General features: G+C 37.8%; 1 protein-coding gene across 3 annotated transcripts in view; it reads right to left on the bottom strand.

The window, feature by feature from the left end:
- TMEM108 (transmembrane protein 108) overlaps positions 1–24,590 on the bottom strand; it is a 359,385-nt gene that overhangs the window by 166,121 nt on the left and 168,674 nt on the right. For 2 of the 3 annotated variants that reach the window (NM_023943.4, NM_001282865.2), the window contains one exon: positions 2,304–2,389. In NM_023943.4, coding sequence (NP_076432.1) covers positions 2,304–2,343 — 40 coding nt within the window. In that variant the 5' untranslated portion in view covers positions 2,344–2,389. The remainder of the gene's footprint in view (positions 1–2,303; positions 2,390–24,590) is intronic. The other variant, NM_001136469.3, reaches the window with a different exon arrangement.

The following is a 24,590-nucleotide window of genomic DNA, read 5'->3' as shown; positions in this document are numbered from 1 at the left end:
CCCCTGAGTTACTGTTGGTCTTACTTCCTCAGATAGTACAATGTGGCATGCGTATTATTCTGGGACTTTCAAGATTAATTCATAATAAATCTTCTAAGCCTTGCCCAAGCCTCATACTGGTAGCTGCCTTATAAGAATTCTGACCAATCTGAAGCCACCATGTTGTGGGGGAGCCCAAACTTTCCATGTGAGATGACCTCAGGGAGCCCTCAGCCATTAGAGTCATTCCAGCCTAGGTCCCAAACACTCTGCAGTGGAGACAGTAGGTTCTGCTAAGCCCTGCTCAAATTACAGATTCATGAACGAAATAAATAACTGTTATTTGCTTTAAGCCACAAGGTTTTAGACTAGTTTGTTATGTAATAATGAAAAACCAGAATACTCAATCATGATTTTTTATCCAAATTAAAAATATATATATTTTTATCATGAGTTATATAAAATATATGAGTTATATAAAATAACATATTGTGTGTGTTGATGCTAGTTCTCAAGTCTATTTTAGACACAGACTAAATGTCTTAAAAACATTCTGTTTGTGGACAATGTTAACATACACATAACTTAATAACTGGCTGACCAGTGACATATAGGAGCTATTGTGTGTATATGCATGTCAGTAATCAGGGTGGTTTAGTGAGGGCCACTACCTACCTCCTAACCAGCAGGAAACTACATATTCTGGACTGTTTGCATTTCCCAGCAAGCTTTGCAAACAGCAAGGTGTTAAGACACAGTCGTTTTCTGTAGCTAGCCAGATGATGTTTGAACCCCCTTCAGCATTCAGAGTTGCTCAATATAAGAGGATGGACCTCGTCATAGGATAAGTCTTGTCTCTCTGGACTGCAGGATAATTTACTGATGCCTTTCAAATAACATACGACCCTAAAATATTATGCAAACTTTGGGGCATACAATCGGCATAGGTGAACTCAACAAACATTTTGCTGTTCCAAAATCTACTCTGTTGTTCTTTATTTCCTGTTTTTCTGGCTACAAAGCCTTCCTACCCTTCTCTGAGGGGTATGTGTGTATGTGTGTATGTAAAATCCTATTTATCCTTCATATGTCTCCTCTCCCATCAAGGCAGAGTTAATCATTCCTTGATGACATTGCTTCTTTAATCTTTAAAGCCTATTCTTTAACAAACAAGCTTATCATTTTTTAAAAAGCAACAAACTGGCAGTCCCATAGAACACATGGAAAAGGAACATGAGAAAGTCCCTATAACACTTGGCGACTTTCCACCAGGCTGAAACAGGCTGACGTGATATGTGTTTTAGGGATTAGAATTCAGCAGAAGAAATGAGTCAATTAAAACGCCCGGCCAGAATGCTGTCTGTAGATGAAGTGCTTTGCACTGGGGGTACAACATAAGCTGAATTACTAAATTCTAAGGGCTGACTGACTGGTGATTTGCATCTCAATATCTTTTCATTTTATTCTCTCAACAAAAGTTAACAAGGAGCCACTCAGCCTAGGAAAGATAGGTACTTCATTTACCTTAGCAAGAACAAGACAAACAATAACTCCCAATTTTCCAACTCACTGGCTTTGGTTTGACCTGGAGCGGGTAATGCCTATTGTCTTAAGTGGGTTAACTGGAACATCAAACCCACCAATTGGTTTTGGCTTTTACATTCATTCAGTAGCAATTCTAATCCCAAAGAAAGTACAATCACTACATGGCAATTGGTGCTTTGTGGCACTATACCCAAAACACATGAGTGATGTGCAAAAAGAAAGTCATAATTGAACACTCTTTATTCCACCACAAAACCAAGAAGTCACATTTTCACCACTTGTTATTTGAGAACCATGTATAGCTATGCATAACATTTTAAGCCAAAGGCTGTATGGCAACAGGTTCTATGTGTTAAAATACAGAAAATACAACCTACCATTTCCTCTTCATGAGGAATCTACAGCAGGTCATCCTGGAAGAATACTAAACTAAAGGCAATAATGTTTTTGGACACTCATTCCCAAATTAACTATGCTTAATACATCAATTTAGAATTATTATAATGGAGTTTAAATTATAACTGATGTCCAAGTTGTAACTATAACTGATGTTAAAACTTCCCTTTGGAATTTAGGAAAAACTGACCAGCATTAACATTAAAACAGAGATCTTAGAATGACTTAACGCTTGATACTTCATCTAGATGAAGCAGAGTGAAACTTTACTGTCCTCTTTCACCGATCCAACCCTGGTCTCCGTCCAAAAAGTAAGTTGTGGGTACCCAGCAAATAATAACATTAGTATATTTTAGGAAAGAAGAAATACAGTGTCAACTTACTTAACAGTTGGCAATAGAGGGCCTGTAAACTTCTCTTCATGGTATCATCTGGTCCTGCTTATCCTCCAGTTTATTCATGATTCTGTCTAGGAAATTGGGAGAAGAAAATTGTTACATCTGAGGAACATAATTTAAAAATCAGAAATAACTCCACTCAATAGGATCTTGGTTATAATGCCTAACTTACCCAATTTCAAAGAGAAAAAATCTTGGGATAAATACACCACAGTTTAATTTACAATGGTGTATGTTATAAAATTACCAACTAATCAACTGGTCGAACCCTGAAACTATACACCCCACTGAAGGAAGCTCATAGGGGTAGCTAGTGAGAATCTGGGTTCAGAATTGAAGACTTTTTATGAATCTCTCATGAATCTCTGTAATCACAGGAGAAACAAAAAATTTATTTTCTCATCTCATTTCTGCTAAGGTGCTCACAAAACAAGCAAACACCCAAATAAAACAAACAAAAAACAAGCCAGAAAGCTTCGCCACACTTGAAACTGTATTATTTTAAATAACTTTTCTATTATTTTCTGATTACAAGGATACTTCTGGTATGGATTATTTAGAAAAAGTAAACAGAAAATACAGATAAAAATAAACAAGAAAATATATATTATCCATAATCCCACAAATAAGAGGTGATTACTGCTCACATTTTAGAGTGTATCTCTTTAGCCTTTTGAATGTGCACTTCTATTGGTCTGTTTCATTTTATATTTAATTTTTAATTTAATTTTTCTCCTTAGCAGCAGAAATAGCTTTGTGTTATTACTATTACTTTACAATTTTATTTTACATGGCAAATGTGTTTCTTTAAGATAAATTCCTAGAAATGGAAACACATTATGGAAGGACATAAATTAAGGCTTTTTGAAATAAATATATTACCAAATTGCTCCTCACCAATACTAGTATATTAGAATAATCATTAGACTACACTCTACCCAAGGAAGAAATTAATAATTTCATCTCTGCCGAGAGGCAAATATTCGGTCTCAATGTTTTAATTTGCATTTTATGTTTATTGGTCATTTGTATATAAAATTTTTAAAATTTACATTCTTTAACAATTCTCTACTAGCATGCCAGGTTTTTTGTTTTCTCATGACATCCCAAGTAGAACTATCTATCTATCTTTAATTTTTTTTTTTTTACTGAGATATAACTCATACATAAAATTCAGCCTTTAAGGTATACAATTCAGTGATTGGGAATATATTCAAAAGTTGTCCAACCATCACCACTACCTAATTCCAGAATGTTTTCATCACTCAAAAATGAAATCACCATGTTTACTATAAGTCACTCCCCAATTTCCCCTCCTTTGGCAACCATTAATCTATTGTCTCTATGGATTTGGCTATTCTGGACATTTTATATAAACAGAATCATATGTGTCTGGCTCTTCCACTCAGCATAATGTTTTCATTTTATTTTATGTTTTTTTTTGAGACGAAGTCTCACTCTGTCGCCAGGCTGGAGTGCAGTGGCGTGATCTCAGCTCACTGCAACCTCCACCACTTGGGTTCAAGTGATTCTCGTGCCTCAGCCTCCCAAGAAGCTGGGATTATAGGCACACACCACCACATCCAGCTAATTTTTGTATTTTCAGTAGAGACAGGGTTTCACCATGTTGGCCAGGATGGTCTTGATCTCCTGACCTCATGATCTGCCCATCTCAGCCTCCCAAAGTGCTGGGATTACAGGTGTGAGCCACCATGCCTGGCCTCAGCATAATGTTTTTAAGGCTCATCAATGTTATATAACATTCTAGGTTTTCAAGTGTTTTTTTTAATAAGAATTCTACCTACCTCACAGACACTCTACCATGGTTAGAAAGGCCTTCCTTAGGCCGGGCGCGGTGGCTCACGCCTGTAATCCCAGCACTTTGGGAGGCCGAGGCGGGCGGATCACGAGGTCAGGAGATCGAGACCATCCTGGCTAACACGGTGAAACCCCGTCTCTACTAAAAATACAAAAAATTAGCCGGGCGAGGTGGTGGGCGCCTGTAGTCCCAGCTACTTGGGAGGCTGAGGCAGGAGAATGGCGTGAACCCCAGGGGGCGGAGCCTGCAGTGAGCCGAGATTGCGCCACTGCACTCCAGCCTGGGCGACAGCGAGACTCTGTCTCAAAAAAAAAAAAAAAAAAAAAAAGAAAGGCCTTCCTTAGTCCAAGATTATATAAATACTTGCGCATATTTTCTTCCTGATATAGTTTGGCCATGTCCCCACCCAAATCTCATCTTGAATTCCCACATGTTGTGGGAAGGACCTGGTGGCAGGTAATTGAATCACGGGGGTGGGTCTTTCCCGTGCTGTTCTCATGATAGTGAATAAATCTCACAAGATCTGATGGTTTTAAAAATGGGAGTTTCCCTGCACAAGCTCTCTCTCTTTGCCTGCCACCATCCACATAAGATGTGACTTGCTCCTCCCTTGCCTCCCACCATGATTGTGAGGCCTCCCCAGCCATGTGGAACTGTAAGTCCATTAAACCTCTTTCTTTTGTAAATTTCCCAGTCGCGGGTATGTCTTTATTAGTAGTGTGAAAACAAACTAATACACTTCCAGTATTTTTTATTTCATTTATTATATTCTAAATATTTTCCTATTCTTAGATATTATAAACCAAAAATAAAATTCTAAGCACCCCAACTGACTGAATGGCTCCCTCCTCTCAGCCAAGGGAATTCCAAAGAAACCTGAAAAACTAGCTCAGGCCATGATGGGAAGTGGGGGCCAGACATGCCTTATTATACTTTCTTCCCTTTGGATTTGAAGCAAAACGGACCAGCATTAACATTAAAACAGTGATCTTAGAACTCACAGAACAGATTGTTTGTAGTAACAAGATACCAAATTCCAACCTGACTCTAGTTTAGCATCACATGACAGATAGCAGGCCCTGAAAAATATCAAAGTATTTTACCCAAAAATATATTTCTTTGACATATTTTAAATGGTCCTGCAAAGCTATCTCTTGTAGAGGAAATTTACATACTGCAGAGAATTCCCTTGCCTTTCCAGGTCTTTTTCTGATCCTGGAAAGATTAGCTGAGAGTCTAGCACCTTTTAAATGACTGAACAGGAAACATTTGCAATCTATTACCTCTAAGGGCAGCCATTTTATGTGCATAATGAGAATCTTGGTTTCCACCACCAATTATCTTAACCCAGACACTCCTTTCTATTGATTCCAGGTCTTCAAATAATATTAATAACTCCTTCAACAAACTGCCAACCAGAAAATCTTTGAATACACCTATGACCTGTAAGCCCTTGCTTTGAGTTGTCTCACCTTTCTAGACCAAAACAATGTATACCTCACATGTATTGACTGATGTCTTATAAAACTTATAAAACGAGGTTGTAACCCAACCATCTTGGGCACATGTTCTAAGGACCTCCTGAGACTGTGTCGCAGGTCTTGGTCCTCACATTTGGCTCAGAAGAAATCTCTTCAAATATTTTATGGAGTTTGGTTTTTTCATCAACAATCTGTTTCTGGACTTTGTATTAAGTTTTATATTTTTCTGTTTGCTCATTCTTCAACTAGAACAATAAGTGTTTAAATTAAACCACTTGTACAGTGAGTTCTATATTATTACTCTTTTTAAAAAGACTTGTTACTTGAGATTGCTTTTTTTTTACCCCCCTCCAAAATTGACTTTAAGATCACTTTATTAAAATCCAGAAAAGGTACATTGGGATTATAGTCAGAATTACCTTCTATTTGCTTTATTAATTTGGGAGAGACTGACTTGATCTCATCAAAATCCAGCTAGGGTGAGGAAGAACATAAGTATTCCAAAACGTATTGCTCTGGAAATCAGAAGAATTCCTTTCAGGGGCTGGGAAGTGTTCTTCTTTGGGGGAGGGGGGTACAACAGCTCAATGACTTTTTTGGCTAGGCAAATTCGTCCCCCACCACCAGTGTGATTTGTATGAGGAAGAAAAAGAAAGATAAAGTGCTCTACATTACACAAAAATTAATTAGGGGCTGGGCGCGGTGGCTTATGCCTGTAATCCCAGCACTTTGGGAGGCCAAGGTGGGTGGATCACGAGGTCAGGAGATCGAGACCATCCTGGCTAACACGATGAAACCCTCTCTCTACTAAAAATACAAAAAATTAGCCGGGCATGGTGGCACGCACCTGTAGTCCCAGCTACTCAGGAGGCTGAGGCAGGAGAATTGCTTGAACCCAGGAAGTGGAGATTGCAGTGAGCCAAGATTGCACGCCATTGCACTCCAGCCTAGGCGGCAGAGCAGGACTCCAACTCAAAAAAAAAAAAAAAAAAAATTAGGAGGTTTGAGTTTCCAGAGGCTATGGCTAGGAAAAAGGAGTTAAAGGGTCTAGAAATTAGAGAGGCTGAGGAGACGATACACAAGAAATATTGAGACAGGAGAGGCAACTCCAAAAGATGGTAGCAGGTGGGACCTAAGGATGAAGGATAAAGTGAGAAATTCCCCACAGGAGATGCCCCATGAATGTTAAGATGTCTAATATTTAATTTTTCATTGCTTCTTGTTTTATGCACATATACACTATATATGTATTAGTCTGCTTTCATGTTGCTGATAAAGACATACCCAAGACTGGGTAATTTATAAAGAAAAAGACGTTTAATGGACTCACGTTCCACACGGCTGGGGAGGACTCACAATCATGGTGGAAGGCAAAAAGCACATCTTACATGGCAGCGGGCAAGAGAGAAAAGAGCCAAGCAAAAGGGATTTCCCCTTATAAAACCATCGGATCTCATGACACTTATTCACTACCATGAGAACAGTATAGGGAAAACCACCCCCATGATTCAATTATCTTCCACTGAGTCCCCCTTCCCACAACATGTGGGAATTATAGGAGCTACAATTTAAGATGAGATTTGGGTGGGAACACAGCCAAACTGTATCAATATGCTACATCTGTGTTCCTTTTCCACAATGCTCATCCACAACCAGTATTGTCAAAACCTCAGTAAAAGTCTGACACAAAACAGCCTTGTATTAGTGATGCTTGACAGGGGCAATGAAAGAGAAGAGACCATGTTTCAAGTCAAGGGCGACCCACAAGCAGTCAGAGGCAGCAGCCTTAGGAGCCACAGCAATGGTTAGTGGGTATCTATGGAGCGTTTAGAATGTGGTAGGCATTCAATAAATGCTTAGTAAATAAACAATGAATGAATGAATAAATAAATGATCAATAACAAGAGAAGAGAGAAACAGTTGTGGTTTAATATATTGATCAAGGGGATTATAAGCCCTTCAGTAGTCTCTGGAAATTCTTAAAGATTTTTGAAAAAGTGACAGACTTCCCATAATACATGGAACAGGTTCACCTTATTCAGTTATCAAAAACAACTGAGCCTATAAATCTAGGAGATTTGGGATCAACTGGGTTACACAGGGCTATCCCAACTAGAAGCACCATTTGGCTATTTATTAAAAATTAATCTTAATTAGGTCTTCTTGTAGAGCTTCAGTGTTTTTCTTTAAGTTCTACAGTCCTGTCAAGTTTTATAGCTTTTAGACATTTTATATTTATTTTTTCACAGTGATAGAATTTCTGTTTCCATTATATTTCCTAATTGCCTCTATATAAAAATGACTGACATTAATTTTGTGACCTTACTGAACTAACTTACTATTCTAATGATGGTTTCTCAGCTGAATCTCTTGGGTCAATTGCGCTGCTTTGGATAGATGGCAAGCCACAGTTAGATTCCATCAGAAGCCTCTTTCAACCATATAATAGAAAATATTAATCACATCAGTCTGGTCCCTCAGAGAATAATTTACGAGGATAACAATTTGGGGGATGAAATCCTAAGAAAGTACAGAGTTACATCCAAAAGCACTGCATAAAGGAAAAACAACCCACCCTTGCAACCCATGCTCCAGGCCCATGCCTATAGACCCAATAACAGGTCTACTACAGTAGTTTTAAGCTCCAGGTTCAATTCCATACACTCGGGTACCAGGCTGACCACCTGCTGACCGAGATATGAAGCCAGGCTGCCCGAAGACTCCAACAGCATGCCTGCTAATGGACAACATCAGACGACCTGCTCAGAATCTCTGGACAGGTTGACTGAAAAAGGGCTTTCCCAAACAAAGCAAGTCTGCAAATACTGGAATAAGTCCCTATTTCTTCAAACGCACAGACACCAACACATGGCAACAAGGATGAGGAACAATCAAAGAAACATGACACCACCAAAGAATAAAATTATGCACCAGTGACCAACCCTAAAGAAACAGAGACTTATAAACTGCCTAACAAAGAATTCAAATAATTGTATAACCAGCCTGGGCAACAAGGCAAGACCCCATTTCTACAAAAAAAATTTAAAAATTAGCTGGGCATGGTGATGTGTGCCTATGGTCCCAGCTTCTTGAGAGGCTGAGGTAGAAGTATTGCTTGCGTCTGGGAAGTTCAAGCTGTAGTGAGCCATAATCATGCTCCAGCCTGGGTGACAGAGTGAGAAAAAAAAAGTACAAATAATTGTATGAAGGAAGTTAAGTGCAGAGAAACAATTCAACAAAATCAGGAGAATAATAAATGACCAAAATGAGAAATTTAATAGAAATTGAAATTATTTAAAAACAAGAAAACAAAGTAGACAATTCTGGAGCTGAAAAGTATAATACAATGAAAGAAATGAAAAATGCAATAGAAGGCATCAACAACAGAAATGGTCAAGCAGAAGAAAAATTTGTGAACTTGAAGACAAGTTATTTGAAAATATATAGTCAGAGGAGAAAAAAATAATAAAAAGGAATGAAGAGAGCTTATGGGATTAGTGGAGCAACAACAAAAGAGCAAATATTTGAATTATAGGAGGGTTAAGAAAAAGACAAAGGAACACAAAGTTTAAAAATAAATAATAGAAAAGTTTTCAAATCTGGGAAAAGACATAAATATCCAGGTACAGGAAGGTCAAAGGCTTCCAATAAGATTCAATTGAAACAAGACAGATGATATATTATAATTGAACTGTTGGGTCCTGAAAGCAGCAAGAGAAAAGAAGCAAATAACATAAAATGGAGTTCCAAAAAGGCTGCAGTTTCTCAGCAGAAACCTTATAGGTGAAGAGAGAGTGGGATGATATATTCAAAGTACTGAAGGAAAAAAAAATTGCCAAAAAAACCCCTGAAACCAGCAAAGCTGTCCTTCTGAAATAAAGAAGAGATAAAGACTTTTCCAGGCAAACAAAAGCTGAAGGAGTTCATCACCACCAGGCGTGTCTTACAAGAACTGCTAAAGGGAGTTCTCTGAGCTAAAAGAACACTAATTAATACAAGAAAACATATGAAAGCATAAAACTTACTGGTAAAAATAAGTGCATAGTCAAATTCAGAATACTCTAATACTATAATGGTGGTATGTAAATCACCTTTATCTTTAGTATGGAGGTTAAAATATAAAACTATTAAAATAATAAGAGCTATGGTAATTTGTTGAAGGATACACAATATAAAAGATGTAAACTGTAACATCAAAAATTTAAAATATAGGGAAGTGGAGTAAAATTGTAAAGGTTTATTTTGCAATCAAAGTTAAGTTGTTATCAGCTTGAAAAAAGGCTTTTATAAGTTGCTTTATGTAAGCCTCATGGTAAACACAAAGCAAAATACTATAGTGGAGCCACAAAAGTGAAAAAAAAAAAAAAAAAAAAAAAGGAATCAATGTAATCAATGTATGCCACTAGAGGAAGACACCTGATCACAAAGGAAGGCAGCAAGAGAGGAAGAAAGGATCAAAGGATCTACAAAACAACCATGAAACAATTAACAAAGTGACAGTAGTAAGTCTGTAAAATAATAAGAAATATGTATTAGACCCTTCTCCTAGTCATTGCACAAAACTCCTTATAATTTACTGAGTGATAGGAGTGCCAGGAGAATCTTTTGTTCTAATATTTGGTCTTGGCACCAGTTCCTGACACAAAGCCCCTATGACCTTTGTTATTTCCTGAGTGATAGGAGCATTCAACACAGAGTTCCTAAATCCCTTGGAATTCCTCAGTGATAGGAGCATCTTTTTTTCTAATGAGGCAATTCTTGGTGGGCTCCTGGGTGGGGGCTGGTCACCAGAAAAATCAAGCCATGAATATAGCTTGCAGCTTTCAGCCCCATCCTACATTCTCCAGAGAGAAGAGAGGAGCTACAAATTGAGTTAATTAATCAATCATGCCTATGTGATGAAGCCTTCATAAAACTCCAAGAACTACAGGGTTTAGAGAGCTTACTGGTTGGTAAACACTTCCATATGCTGAGAGGGTGGTATACCCCAACTCCACAGGGACAGAAGCTCCTATGCTTGGGACTGTTCTAGACTTTACACTATTTATGTCTTTATCTGGCTGTTCACCTGTATCCTTTATTATTTCATTTATTAATAAACTGGTACATGTAAGTAAAGCACTTTCTGAGCTCTATGAGCCACTCTAGCAAGTTAATCAAACCCAAGGAGAGGGTAGTGGTGGTCCCAATTTACAGCCAGTTGGTCAGAAGTATAGGTGACAACCTACTACTTCTGATTGACATCTAAAGTAGGGAGCAGTCTTGTGGGACTGAGCCCTTAACCTGTAGGATCCAATCCTACCTCCAGGTAGCTACTGTCAGAATTAAAAATTGAATTATAGGATACTCAGCTGGTGTCCATGGGAGAATTGCTTCATGTGTAGGGAAATACCCTCACACATTTGGTGTCAGAAGTGTTGAGTAGTGTGAGAGTAAAGGTAAATAAATACATAAATTTATTCAAATGTATTTATTTGAATATTTTTTATTCAAAAGTGGAATAACGTAGAATAAATGAATAAACTCCTTCTAAAAAGTCCTTATCAATAATTACCTTGATTATAAATGGATTACATTATCAAATCAAGAAACATAAGCTGGGCATGGTGGTGCACACCTGTAGTCCTAGCTAGTCAGGAGGCTGAGGCAGGAGGATCACTTGAGCCCAGGAGTTTGAGACTACAATAAGCTATGATCATGCTGCTGCACTCCAGCCTGGTCAACGCAGTGAGACTTCATCTCTTAAAAAAAAAATGACTGGATGAATAATAATAAAAAAGACTCAACTATATACTGCCTACAAGAGACTCATTTCACCTTTAAGGACACATACAAAATGAAAGTGAAGGGATGGAAAAATAATCCATGCAAACAGAAATAAAAAGAGAGCAGGGTAACTATACTTTTATCGGATAAAAAAGACTTTTAGTCAAAAACCGTAAAAAAAAAAAAAACCGAAGAAACAAAAAACATCATTATATAAGGATGAAAGGTTCAATTCATCAAGAGGATATAACAATTATAAATACATATGCATCCAACATTGGAGCACCTACATACATAAAAAATATTAATAGATCTGAAAGGATAGACTCTTAATAATAGCAGGGGACTTCAAGGCTCCACTTTCAACAATGGATGGATATCCAGACAGAAGATTAAGAAAGAAACATTGACTTAAACTACATTTTAGAGCAAATGGTACAGACATATATAGAACATTCCACCTAAGAGCAGCAGAATACACATTCTTCTCAAGCACACATAAAACATTTTCCAGGATAGACTATATATAACACAAGTCTTAAGTTTAAGAAGGTCTAAATCACATGAAATATATTTTCCAACCACAATAGTATAATACTAAAAGTCAATAACAGGAGGAATTTCAGAAAATTCACAAACACTTAGAAATTAAACAACATGCCCCTGAGCAACCAAAGAATAAATTAAATGGAAGAATAAAAATTATCTTGAGACAAATGAAAATAAGCACATACTACACCAAAGCTTGAAGGATGCAAAACAAAAGCGGTTCTAAGAGGAAAATTTACAGCAATAAAAGCCTACATCAAAAAAGAATATTTCAAATAAATAAACTAACATCATACATCAACAAAATAGAAATAAAAGAACAAATTAAGCCCAAAGTTAGAAGGAAGGAAATAATAAAGGCCAAAGCATAAATAAATGACAGAGAGACCATATAAACAATAGAAAAGATCAATGAAACTGAGAGGTGGTAATCAACAAACTTTTAGCTAGACTAAGAAAAGAGAATACTCAAAGTTAGAAATGAAAGAAAAGACATTACAATGAATACTACAGAAATACAAAGGATCATAACAGACTACTGTGGACAATTATATGCCAACAAATTGAATAATCTAGAAGAAATGGATAAACTTCTAGAGACATACAACCTACTAAGAGCGAATCATGAAGAAATAGAAATTCTGAACAGACCAGTAACAAGTAAGGAAATTGAATCAGTAATTAAAAGTCTCCCATTAGAGAAAAGCCCAGGGCCTGATGACTTAACTACTTAACTCTACCAAACATTTAAAGAAGAACTAATACCAATCCTTCTCAAACTCTTCCAAAAAAAACTTAAGAAGAGGGAATAATTACAACTCATTTTTAGAAGGCTAGCCTTACCCTGATACCCAAGCCAGACAGGGATACTACAGGAAAAGAAAATTATAGGTCAGCATCCCTGATGAATATAGGACACAAAAATCCTCAACAAAATGCTTGCAAACAAAGTTCAACAGCACATCAAAAGGATTATTCACCAAGATTAAGTGAAATTTATCCCAGAGATGCAAGGATGCTTCAACATACACAAGTCTACTAATTAAAGAATGAAGAACAAAAATAACATTATCATTTCAAAAGTCAAACCGTTTGAAAAAATTCAACATCCTAACATGATAATAAAAACTCTCAATAAATTAAGTATACAATAAAAGTAACTCAATGCAACAAAGGCCATATATGACAAACCCACAGCTAACATATGCAACAATGTAAAATTGAAAGCTTTTCCTTTAAGATCAGGAACAAGACAAAGAAGCCATTACTGTCACTTCTATTCAATATAGTACTAGAGTCCTAGCCAAAGCAGTTAGGCAAGAGAAAGAAATAAAAGGCATCCAAACTGGAAAGAAAAAAATTAAATGTCTCTGTCTGCAGATGACATAATATTATATATAGAAAACCTTAAAGAATCCACCAAAACACTGTTAAAACTGACAAATCCAGTAAAGTTGCAGAATACAAGAAACAAACACACATAATTAGTTGCATGTCTATACACTAACAACAAACTATCTAAAGAGAGCAATAAAACAATCCCATTTGCAATAGTTATAAAAAAATACTTAGAAATAAATTGAACCAAGAAGATGGAAGACCTGTACACAGAAAACTACAAACTATTAATGAAAGAAATTGAAGACATAAATAAATGGAAAGACATCCTATGTTCATGGATTGGAAAAATTAATGTTAAAATGTCCATACTAACTAAAGAAATATACAGATTCAATGCAATTCCTATCAAAATTCCAATGACATTTTTTACAGAAAGAGAGAAAACAATCCTGAAATTGGTAATGAACCACAAAGACTCCAAATAGCCAAAGTAATCTTGAGCAAAAAGAACAAATATGGAGGCATCACACTACCTGACTTCAAAATACACCACAAAACTATAGTAATCAAAACTGTTTGGTATTGACATAAAAACAGACCTATGAAACAGAACAGAGAGCCCAGAAATAAATCTGTGCATTTATGGCCAATTGATTTTTGACAAAGATGCCAAGAACACATTAACAGGGAAAGGACAATCTCTTCAATAAATGGCATTGGGAAAATTGAATATCAACATGCAGAAATAATGAAATTAGACTACTATGTCACCAATATATAAAACTCAATTCCAAATAGATTAAAGATGTAAATATAAGACTGAAACTGTAAATCTACTACTAGAAGAAGACATATGGGAAAATCTCCATGACATTGGTTTGGTCAATGATTTTTTGGATATGACCCCAAAGCACAAGCAACAAAAGCAAAAATAAACAAATCAGATTACATCAAACAAACAAGCTTTTATACAGCAAAAGAAACAATCAACAGAGTTATGAGACAATCTATGGAATGGGAAAATGTATTTGAAAACTGTGCATATGATAAAGGATTAATATACAAAATATATAAAGAACTCAACTCAATAGTAAGAAAACAACCAGATTAAAAAATGAGCAAAAAAACTGAATAGACATTTCTCAAAAGAGGATATACCCATGGTCCAGAGGTTCATGAAAAAATGCTCAACATCACTGTACACTAACAACAGAGAGATACAAATCAAAACCACAATGAGACATCAACTCACATCTGTTAGAATGGCTATTACCAAAAAGATCCAAGATAAATTTTGGCAAAGATGTGAAGAAAAGGGAACTCTTGCACACTGTTGATCGGAAGGTAAATTAGTACAACTATTATGGAATACAGTAGCGAGGTTCCTGAAAAAATAAAAACTAAAACTACCACATAATCCATCAATCCCACTACTGGGTATATATTCAAGGAAAATGAAATCAGTATGTAGAGATATGCACGTCCATGTTCACTGTAGCAATATTCACAACAGTCAAGATATGAAATCAACCTAAGTATCTGTCAACAGATGAATGGTTAAAGAAATTGTGGTATATATATACACACAATGGAATACCATTCAGCATTTAAAAAGAAGCAATTCCTGTCATTTGTAACATGGATAAACTTGGAAGATAGTAAGTGAAATAAGCCCAGCACAGAAAAACAACTACCATACGATCTCACTTATACGTTTAATCTAAAAAAGTTGAACTAATAGAAGCAGAGTAGAACGGTGGTTACCAAGGGCTTGGGGAGAGGGAGTTGGGGAGACGTTATTTGAAGGATACAAAGTTTCAGTTAGGACAAATAAATTCAAAAGATTTATTGTATAACATGGTGACAATAGTTAATAATAACATATTGTATTCTTGGAAATCACTAAGAGTAGATTTTAAGTGTTCTCACCATAAAAAATATGCAAGGGAAAGCATTTGACCACACATATGACATAGTGGCACAGGTGGGGACTTCACTGATTATTAGCACAAGAGAAACACAGGGATATGAGTAACCTGGACCATACCTTACTTAAGGAGAGTGAGCCTAATAGAACCTTGCTTCTCAAGCTTAAGTGGGACAGTCATATATCACTTGCACTGAGTCAGAAGGAATACTTCTCAATTTCATAGAACACTAAAAATGTTCTAATTAAAAATGTCTATGGTGTCAGAAAATAGCCATAAAGAGCCAAATGAAAAGCTCTGATATTTGATATGCAGATTGACTTGAAATGACAAGTACATGAAGAGCAAGTAAGGAGGAACAGCCAGGAAATCTCTGGGGAAAAAAAAACAAGGTGGTGTGGGGGCAACTGCTGGCCTTATCAGATACTAAAACATACTCTAAAGCCTCTATAAAGCATTTGATATTGGCACACGAGTAGGCCCAATGATATATGAAAATTTAGGATTGATAAAGGCAGCATATCAAATCAGTTGGGGAAAATATAAGCATTTAACAAATGTTGAGATACTGGTTGAGCAATATGGAAAATGGTAAAACTATACTCATTCCAAACACCATACCGCAACTTAAATTCCAAATCGATCAGATATTTAAATGTAAAAAAGCATAAAAGCACTAGGAAAAAAAATACAGGTATATTCTACTATTATTTGTGAGTACAGAAGCTTTGCTAATTCTGACTCAAAATCTAAAGCAATAAGGAAAAAGACTGATAAACTTTATTATACATATAAATTCAGTAAAAATACAAAGCAAAAGTAAAAATGAAAAAAACAAAAACTCTTCAACTTATAACAGGCAAGGGGTTAATATCCCTAAAATTTCTTTGTAATCCCAAAATAAATACTTGCAATGCTTTCATGGTCATTAGTGGACACGCATAGAGTGGCAAAAAATTTCAGTCAATCAACGCATACATTCCCAGCTTAAGATGAACAAGGTGATGCTCCATCTTTCTTGTTTCAGCTCTTTACTGGAAACAAATGTCCTCTCCATGGACTATTTAGTGCTTTTTTTTTTTTTTTTACATTTTTATGCTTTTGTGTTGGTGATTTTACTATTAAATATGGCTTGCAAGCAAAGTGCTGAGATGCTGTTTAGTGTTTCTAAGCACAGTAAGTTGTGATGTAGCTTTTACAGAAAATGCTGTAGATTAGCTTCATTCAGGCATAAGTTACAGTGCTGTTGGCCATAAGCTCAATGTTAGTGAATCAACAATACATACTAAATAAGGTGTCTTTAATCAGAAACACATAAAAGAAGGGTACATACTGATCAGTTGATAAAAGTTTGTGAGAGGCTCAAAGGAAACTAACCTTCTATTTCTCTTATGAGAAATGGTTCCAAATTAGATAATTCAACATTCATGGAGACTATATACAATAGCAGCCCCCAACCTTTTTGGCACCAGGGACCAGTTTCGAGAAGGACAATTTTTCTACAGACCTGGGGTGGGGGACATGGTTTTGGGATGAAACTGTCCCACCTCAGATCATCTGGCATTAGATTCTTATAAGGAACATGCAACCTAGATCCCTCACACACACAGTTCACGATAGGGTTCCTGCTCCTATGAGAATGTAATGCCACCACTGATCTGACAGGAGGTGGAACTCAGCTGGTAATGCTCCCTCACCTGCAGCTCACCTCCTGCTAATGCATCCTGGTTCCTAACAGGCCATGGACTGGTACCAGTCTGTGGCCCAGGGGTTGGGGGATGCCGGTTATATAACGTAACTAACATGAATAACAAGAATTGACTGTAGTTGAATTGAGATTTAAAATATTTTGTGAGACAAAGCGTGATGATAACCAACAACCTAGGCCAATAGTAGAGCTTAGAAAAGACAGAACATGAGATTTCCGTCTCCCTAGGAAAAGAGAAGATTCGATTAAGTTGGTGGCCAACGTGCCTGAGAGAACCCTCAGGGAAAATAAAAGACTAGGAAGGTTGAGATATAGAATATAACCCTTCCTTTGGATCTAGTTCCTTGCAGTGGGGGCGGGGAGGACAGAAGTGACTAACATCACAGATTTGTGAGGAGATTGAGAAAGGAGCATATGCCTGCTTTACAGGTGGGGACATGGACACCAAGAAGTCAAGGTCTTTGCTCAAGATCAAACCTATTATCTATGTGCCTGTAAACTAGTTTCTTGAGCTCTGATCCTTGAATTTCCTGTAATAGGGGTAAGAATGGTACTAGATATACTTGCTGCAAAGATGGAGACAAGGCATGTCAAGCACTTGGCCCAGGGCCAGGTACACAGTAAGTTCTCTGTGCAAGTTAGCAACTATCGCCCAGTAGCAGAATGCAAGACAAACTGGGCCAGAGCTCAATTTGAGAGAGTTGTCTCTGTTAATTGTGATTCCCCGAAGCCAGAAATGACCCAAAGGCTTTTGGGCCATTCCCCAAATAGCCCCTTCTGTTAAATCTAGTGTCATATTAAAATTGGATTTATTAATTACTCTTAGGGGTATAAATTGAATTTTAAGGGTCTTATTTATAAGTTATACTTCTGCCTTCTTTAAAAGGAATCTGAGGAAGCTTACAACTAGATGCAACTTGAATAACAGAATTAATAACACACCAAAGCACAATAATGACTCCAGGAAGAAAGGTCCAAAACAATGTGGCAAAAGGGAGGATTAATTTTACCATAAGATGGAATGGGACAATACATTTCCCTTGGAGCTTCCTGGAAATGAAGGCAAAAAGGATAGCTAGTATCATTTGTTTCTGGCTACATAAACAGAAGTACATTTTTTATTTTGTTCAGAAACACAAACTTCATCTGTCACTCACTGCAAAGAAAAGATCATTAGACAGATCTTTTGACAAACATTAGCATCCTCAATAGCAGTTTTATAGAATATGAACAGAATACTCTTGTTTGGCTACTCCTGATCAACCCACAATAAAAACTAAAGTCATTGTGCTAAGTAGTAATTCAGGGAAAGCATTTCAATGAGTAGTGCAAGCACAATGGCAGGCCTGCCACTTAGTAGCTTTGCTCTGTGACCTTGGGTAAGTTACTTAATTTCTCTGGAGCCTCAACTTTCTCATTTTTAAATGGGGCTGATACCTAATTAGAGCACTCCTAGGGAATTAAATGTACTAAAACACCTACCATGTGTCTTGCACATCATATGTCTCTCCCTTTCTCCTGGGCTAATAATGGTGTACAGACATGCTGCTTTTGGTTATTTGCAAGAGACAGAACTGGGAAAACAGAAGGAATGAATATTCATCATGTTATCTCAGGGCCTGAGCATCTTGTTCCATGAGCAACAGGTAGGCAAATATGAATGTCTCTCAGGCTTTTTTATAGCATAAGTCACAAATGAATGCATGTGTCCACAGGGCTGGGTTTGGGTTATAATGGCATTTTTAGTCAAATTCTTTTGATACAGATGCTTTGCATATTAAACGCAGGAATATCCTTCACTTCCATAAAGAAACAGTTGTTCTCTCTCATTTTCTTTCTCTTCTTTCTTTCTTTTTTTTTTTCCTTTTTTTTTTTTTTGAGACAGAGTCTCCCTCTGTCACTCAGGCTGGAGTGCAGTGGTGCAATTTCGGCCCTACTGCAACCTCCGCCGCCCGAGTTCAAGCCATTCTCATGCCTCAGCCTCCCGAATAGCTGGGATTCCAGGCATGCACCACAATATCTGACTGATTTTTGTATTTTTAGCAGAAACAGGTTTCGCCATGTTGCCCAAGCTGGTCTTGAACTACTGACCTCAGGTGATCCACCTGCCTTGGCCTCCCAAAGTACTGGGATTACAGGCATGAGACACCATGCCTGGCCGTTCTCTCTCATTTTCCTTGAAATCTGTGCTAGTCCTAGTCTATCTTTTAAATTTTTATACTTTGTACAAGAAATATTTCACTGTCCTCTGAACTTATGATCAACAGTGTGGGTACAATTACAATAACTGTCACTTTGTGGCAGTTCTGTGAGATTACAGGGAGTATAATGAACTAGAAAACAAATGGGAATAGTGGTTTTTTGACTCACACCAAACAGATCTTTTCTATTGTTTTTCTTAAGAAAACAGAAAATTCTCTCAAAAATTTTCTCCTAAGTTTTTAAGAAAAGTCAGAAATCCGGATATTTAGATGGAATTTCCCTATTTTAAAATGCTGACAATTAATTCATGTAGGCCAAGACTACAAGCCAGATGAAAGAGGACTGTGTAATTCCTGATTTAGAGAGGCTTTCATAATTCAGAAATGTACATGGGCACTTTTCTAGAAAACTGAGGAGCAGAGTGCCTGTCCCTGGAGGGATTTATACTGAGGCAGGAGGCAGAGCAGATCCCTCCCTGCATTCTGCAAGTCCTCCAGCCAGCCTGGAGTCTAGGCTATCACTCAGGATATTTTCAAGGGGGAAAAAAATCCCACCTGTAATAGAGCTCCTTTCTGCTCTTCTCTTTCATATTTCCCTTTCTAAAAAATAAAATAAAATAAAATAAAGGAGGTTGTCAGTTCCACCAAGATGCAGAATTCCAAACAAAAGAGAAAAACTGTTAAATCTCCTGCTAAGGAAAAGCCTACAAAAGGGAATCAATTAATGTGAATTCTACTTGAGGACTCAGAAGTAATTGCTTGAGTGCTCCTCAAGAAAGGCTGCTGGAGTCTATTTGCATTTGTTGAGGGAGGGTGTTCTGCTCTCCACAGCCACTGAGGTCAGCAATGGGGTAAAAATAGTACCAGGAGTTTGAGGCTTATTAGAATGACACAGAACCTCCTTCTTCCGGCATTAAAGTGAATTAGGATCATTTATCTCCTTTGAGGAGACAGGAAGTTGCTTGTGCAGGGTGAAGAATACGTATCATACTTCCCTTTTTATGGTTTTGGTGTTAAAGACTGAATATTGAGGTCAGGGAATTAAATGATATTGTAGAGATGCCAAATACTAAAGGAGCATGTTCTATCATTTTGACTGCACTGCTTATGAAAAAGATTATTTCTTGTACACAGCAAACTCATTCATTTTTCTTTTTTCTTTTGCAATGCCTGAAAAATATCTTCAGAAATTGAATTCAGGGACCTAAAAATTATGTGTATTTCCTTTGGGCAGCAGTCAATTTTCCTGAAAGATGTGCTGATGTTTTTACAGTAGAAAGGGAGGTAAGGTCATAGAAAGTAGGCACAGTTCTTACCAGAACGTTTTACATGTGAAAAGAACATTTAAACCCAAGAGGCATGCTTTGAAGAGGCAATACACTTCAGCATGTGAAATTATTCATAATATTATAGTCATTAATAAATTTTAATTTTTTGCTACCAAGTGGCATGTTGATTAAAAATTAGTTAATTTTAATTTTTACCTTTAACCTCAAATTTGCTTTTCTGGGGCCTCATTCCCCGTTCTTAGTTCCTCTCATTCCACTTGAATCCACATAAAAACTTCTTTAAGTCTTAAGCTAGTATAAAGATGGTTTTAATACGTGTTTCTGGTTTAATCTTTCAAAATACATCATTTATGTCAAGTGGTTCCACAGGGTTGGCAGGCAGTCTGTTGAATATACAGCTGGAATAAAAATTACAGTGAAATGGAAAATACGTGAGCAAGAGTAGGTTGGGCCAATATTAAACAGACACAGCTATCATCTGAAGAGTATGAATTAAGTTCACTGTTTGGACTTGTGCAGGAATGCTTAGTCCCACAGTGAAGTTCATGATATTCCGAACATTTTGAATGAGTTTTATCTTTATGTCTTGCTCCAGGAAGCATGCATAAAATAATACAATAGCTTTATATCATTATGTTGATAATTCTACCTTGCTTTGATGACTGGAAGGCTAGAAGAAATATCTGAAAGTACCAAGATTGGTAATTTCCCAAACTAGCTGATGGCCAGAATCTACTTCAAACATATATCCCTAGGTCTTTCCCTTAGAAATTCTGACTCCCAGGTTATGGGATGGAGAAATTTTAAAAGGCTCCCAATATGGCTATTATGATCAGCAAGTCTTGGAATCCAAAAACCTAATCTAGCAGTTCTTAATGCTGAGTGAACACTAGAACAATGACTGAACACTAGAACAATGGAGGAACACAGCAATGCTTATGCCATGCTACATCCCAGATTAAGGAAATCAGACTCCCTGAAGGAATGTAGGAAGCTTCCAAGTGATTCTACTGTATAGTTGGGTTGAGAACCAGGAATCCTTACTCCATCCTCAGAGAGTACTAGAGCCACAGTGAGGCCAGGCCCACTTATTCTCTTCCCTGAAAGTGACAGTTTTACGAGAGATGGAGGAAGTGGGATGATAAATGAAACCACATTTGCAAGTTATATTCAAAACAGCAAAGGAGTGAGTCAGTGTTTCTTAAACATTTGGATCCAATGCCTTTCATGCAATTCAAGTTTTAAGCAACATGAGCTTTTGGTGATCTTTCACCCAATCTCTAACTCTGATAAGCCTCTCACTTGTCCCTACTGCTTGATTCATAGGGATGTCTTGAAGAATAAGGAGATAGTGACTGAAAAGGAGAGAGATGAGGTTCAGGGAAGTGAAGAGGGTGTGGGAAGCCACCCCCAGACTATGAGCTTGGCATGAAGCTGAAACCACCCTCATCTCTAAATCATTCATTCTCAGGGTAGAAAAGTGCTCCTTTTCCTGAAGATGGCATTCATAGAGAAGATAGACTGAGAGAAAACAGTTGATGCTGCAAATTCTGAGTGGGGGCAATGGAGGAGAGACTACACCAAAGGAACCTCCTTCCCCGCTGGGGACCATAGCCAACTGCACAGAGAAGCGGGGCAGGAAGATGCAGTATACACAGCAGTAAGCCAGGAGATCCATTTTGGAAAATACTGAGTGCCACAACTTAACATGCACTGTGCTAATAGGAGGGGCTGGGGCTGAGAATAAAAACAAATGAGACATGCTCCCCATCTTTAAGAGCTTGCAGCATGGCATGGAGAGAGACTATCTTGTCAAAAACCACTCTATAGACAGCTTTGCCTATGTATTTGTCTAATGCACTTGTATTAGACAAGGTATATCATAGCAAATTATATTCTAACAAATTAGAAAATGGGGCAGGCATGGTGGCTCATGCCTATAATCCCAGGTCTTTGGAAGGCCAAGGCAGGAAGGCTGCTTGAGGCCGGAGTTGAGACCAGCTTGGCAAAATAGCAAAACCCCATTCCTTAAAAAAAAAAAAAAAATTAGCCAGGTGTGGTGGCCTGTGTCTATAGTCAGAGCTACTTAGAAGGGGCTGGGGCAGCAGGATCCCTTGAGCTAGTTTGAAGTTTCAGTGAGCTATGATTGTGCCACTGCACTTCAGCCTGGGCAACTGTGAGACCCTGTCTCTTAAAAGCCTTACCCTTCTTGAGTCTCAGCATTACTATCAATAAAATGGGTACAACGTCTATACTGCAAGATAGTTTTGAGAATAAAATGACACGAACATCCACACAAAGTCTGGAACGCAAAAGTACCAGAATCATGCCCTATTTTCTCTTTAAAAGAAAAGTTGTTATCTTCTAGAGTAGGAAGACAAGGTTTCTGAAGGAGGTGGAAATTCAGCTAAACCTTGAAGGTTAAGAGTGATGGAAAATGCAAAGGCACAGAGGTAAGACAGTGAGGCAGGAGTTTGAGAATGAGTACATTAAACAACAGGAGATCTACCACTGGCTGCTGTAAAAGCCTTCCCCAATACAGTTTTGGATGTAATGTGACTGGCTCTCCAGCTTCTGAAAGAGTTGGGCCAATGTTCTTGTCTTCTAGAGGAGGGGAGAATATATTCAGGAGAGGACAAGACTGACAGGGAAGTAGCTGGTGGTAGTTGGAAATCAGCAAGATGGGAGCTGGGTCCCCAAAGCACAATCTTCCCAAATCAATAGAAGAAATAAATGCCTACTAACCATGGGATAGCTGGAAGCCCCAGCCAGCTACAGGATCCAGAATCATCCCCATCAATGTTTACACAGCTTTAGATGACTAACACTAGATGGTGGCAAACCCAAGTTTACACCTGGATAGATCTGGCTCCTGCAGCTAGATCCTCAGAACTCAAGGCTGGCTAACTATGTAGGCTGGCTTTCATCATTCCATTAACTTCACAGTAATGTTACCACGTGGTCTACACAAGTGGTTCTCAAAGTTTGGTCCTCAGACCACAAGCAGCACCCAGGAGCTTGTTAGAAATGAAAATGATCAGGTTCTACCTCAGACCCACTGAATCAGAAACTCTAAGGGTGGGGCCCAGTAATCTGTGCTTCAACAAGCTCTCCAGGATGTATACTAACGTTTGGGAACCCCTGCTTTACACACAGGAATTTCTGGGCCTATTATGCCATGGCAGGGTTTTACTGTACAACTGTGACCTTGGATAAATAATATACCTTTATATAGGACCAACAAAATGAAGAAAGAGGTAGCTGGAACAGAAAGATCTATCTCCAAGGTCCCTTTCAATTGTAACATGCTATAATTTATTAGTTCACCAGTGGGGGAAATGTTTACAGCTCATTAGTTCAAACAGATGGGTAGTGTTGGCATTTGTGGATCTTGTTGCATGCATTGAGTGTGGTATGTTTGAATTCTAATGGCTAATTTTAACATGCTACACATCTTCATTATTAGACTTATTAGGCTATTAATGTTAATGCTATATGATTGACCCCCATATGGAGGGGAGCATTAAAACATGAGCTTTGTGTGAGGAAAACCAACAATTTAATTGCAATGAATTTCTTGTCTCTGTTGTGGTTACATATAACCATTAAGAACTAGACCTTTCACTGAATTAAAATTCTAAACAAAGGCAGTCAGAATTGATTTAAATAATTAAATCCTGGAACAACTACTTTCAAATAAACCTCTCATCCAGAACCTAAAAAACTTTACGATGATAGCCAATACTTACAGGTAAATCAAACATGTAAGCCACTTCGCCTGACAAATCAGCTCAAATCAGAGGTCCAGGGGAGGGCTGGCAAGATGGCCAAACAGGAACAGCTCTGGTCTGCAGCTCCCAGTGAGATCAATGCAGAAGGCGGGTGACTTCTGCATTTCCAACTAAAGTACCTGGCTCCTCACTGGGACTGGTTAGAAAGTGGGTTCAGCCCATGGAAGGCAAGCAGAAGCAGGGTGGGGCGTCACCTCACCTGGGAAGTGCAAGGAGTCAGGGAACTCCCTCCCATAGCTAAGGGAAGCCTTGAGGGACTGTATCCTGAGGAACGGTGCATTCCAATGCAGATACTATGCTTTTCCCATGGTCTTCGCAACACCAGGGCCCTGAGGCTTGAGTAGGCGGGTTTTTCCCCTCACATTGTAAACAAAGCCACTGGGAAGTTCAAACTGGGCA

Source organism: Homo sapiens, chromosome 3, assembly GCF_000001405.40.
Source record: "Homo sapiens chromosome 3, GRCh38.p14 Primary Assembly".
NCBI classification, from domain to species: domain Eukaryota; kingdom Metazoa; phylum Chordata; class Mammalia; order Primates; family Hominidae; genus Homo; species Homo sapiens.
Note: the sequence above shows the minus strand (reverse complement) of the source record. Positions and strands in the feature narration are given on the sequence as shown.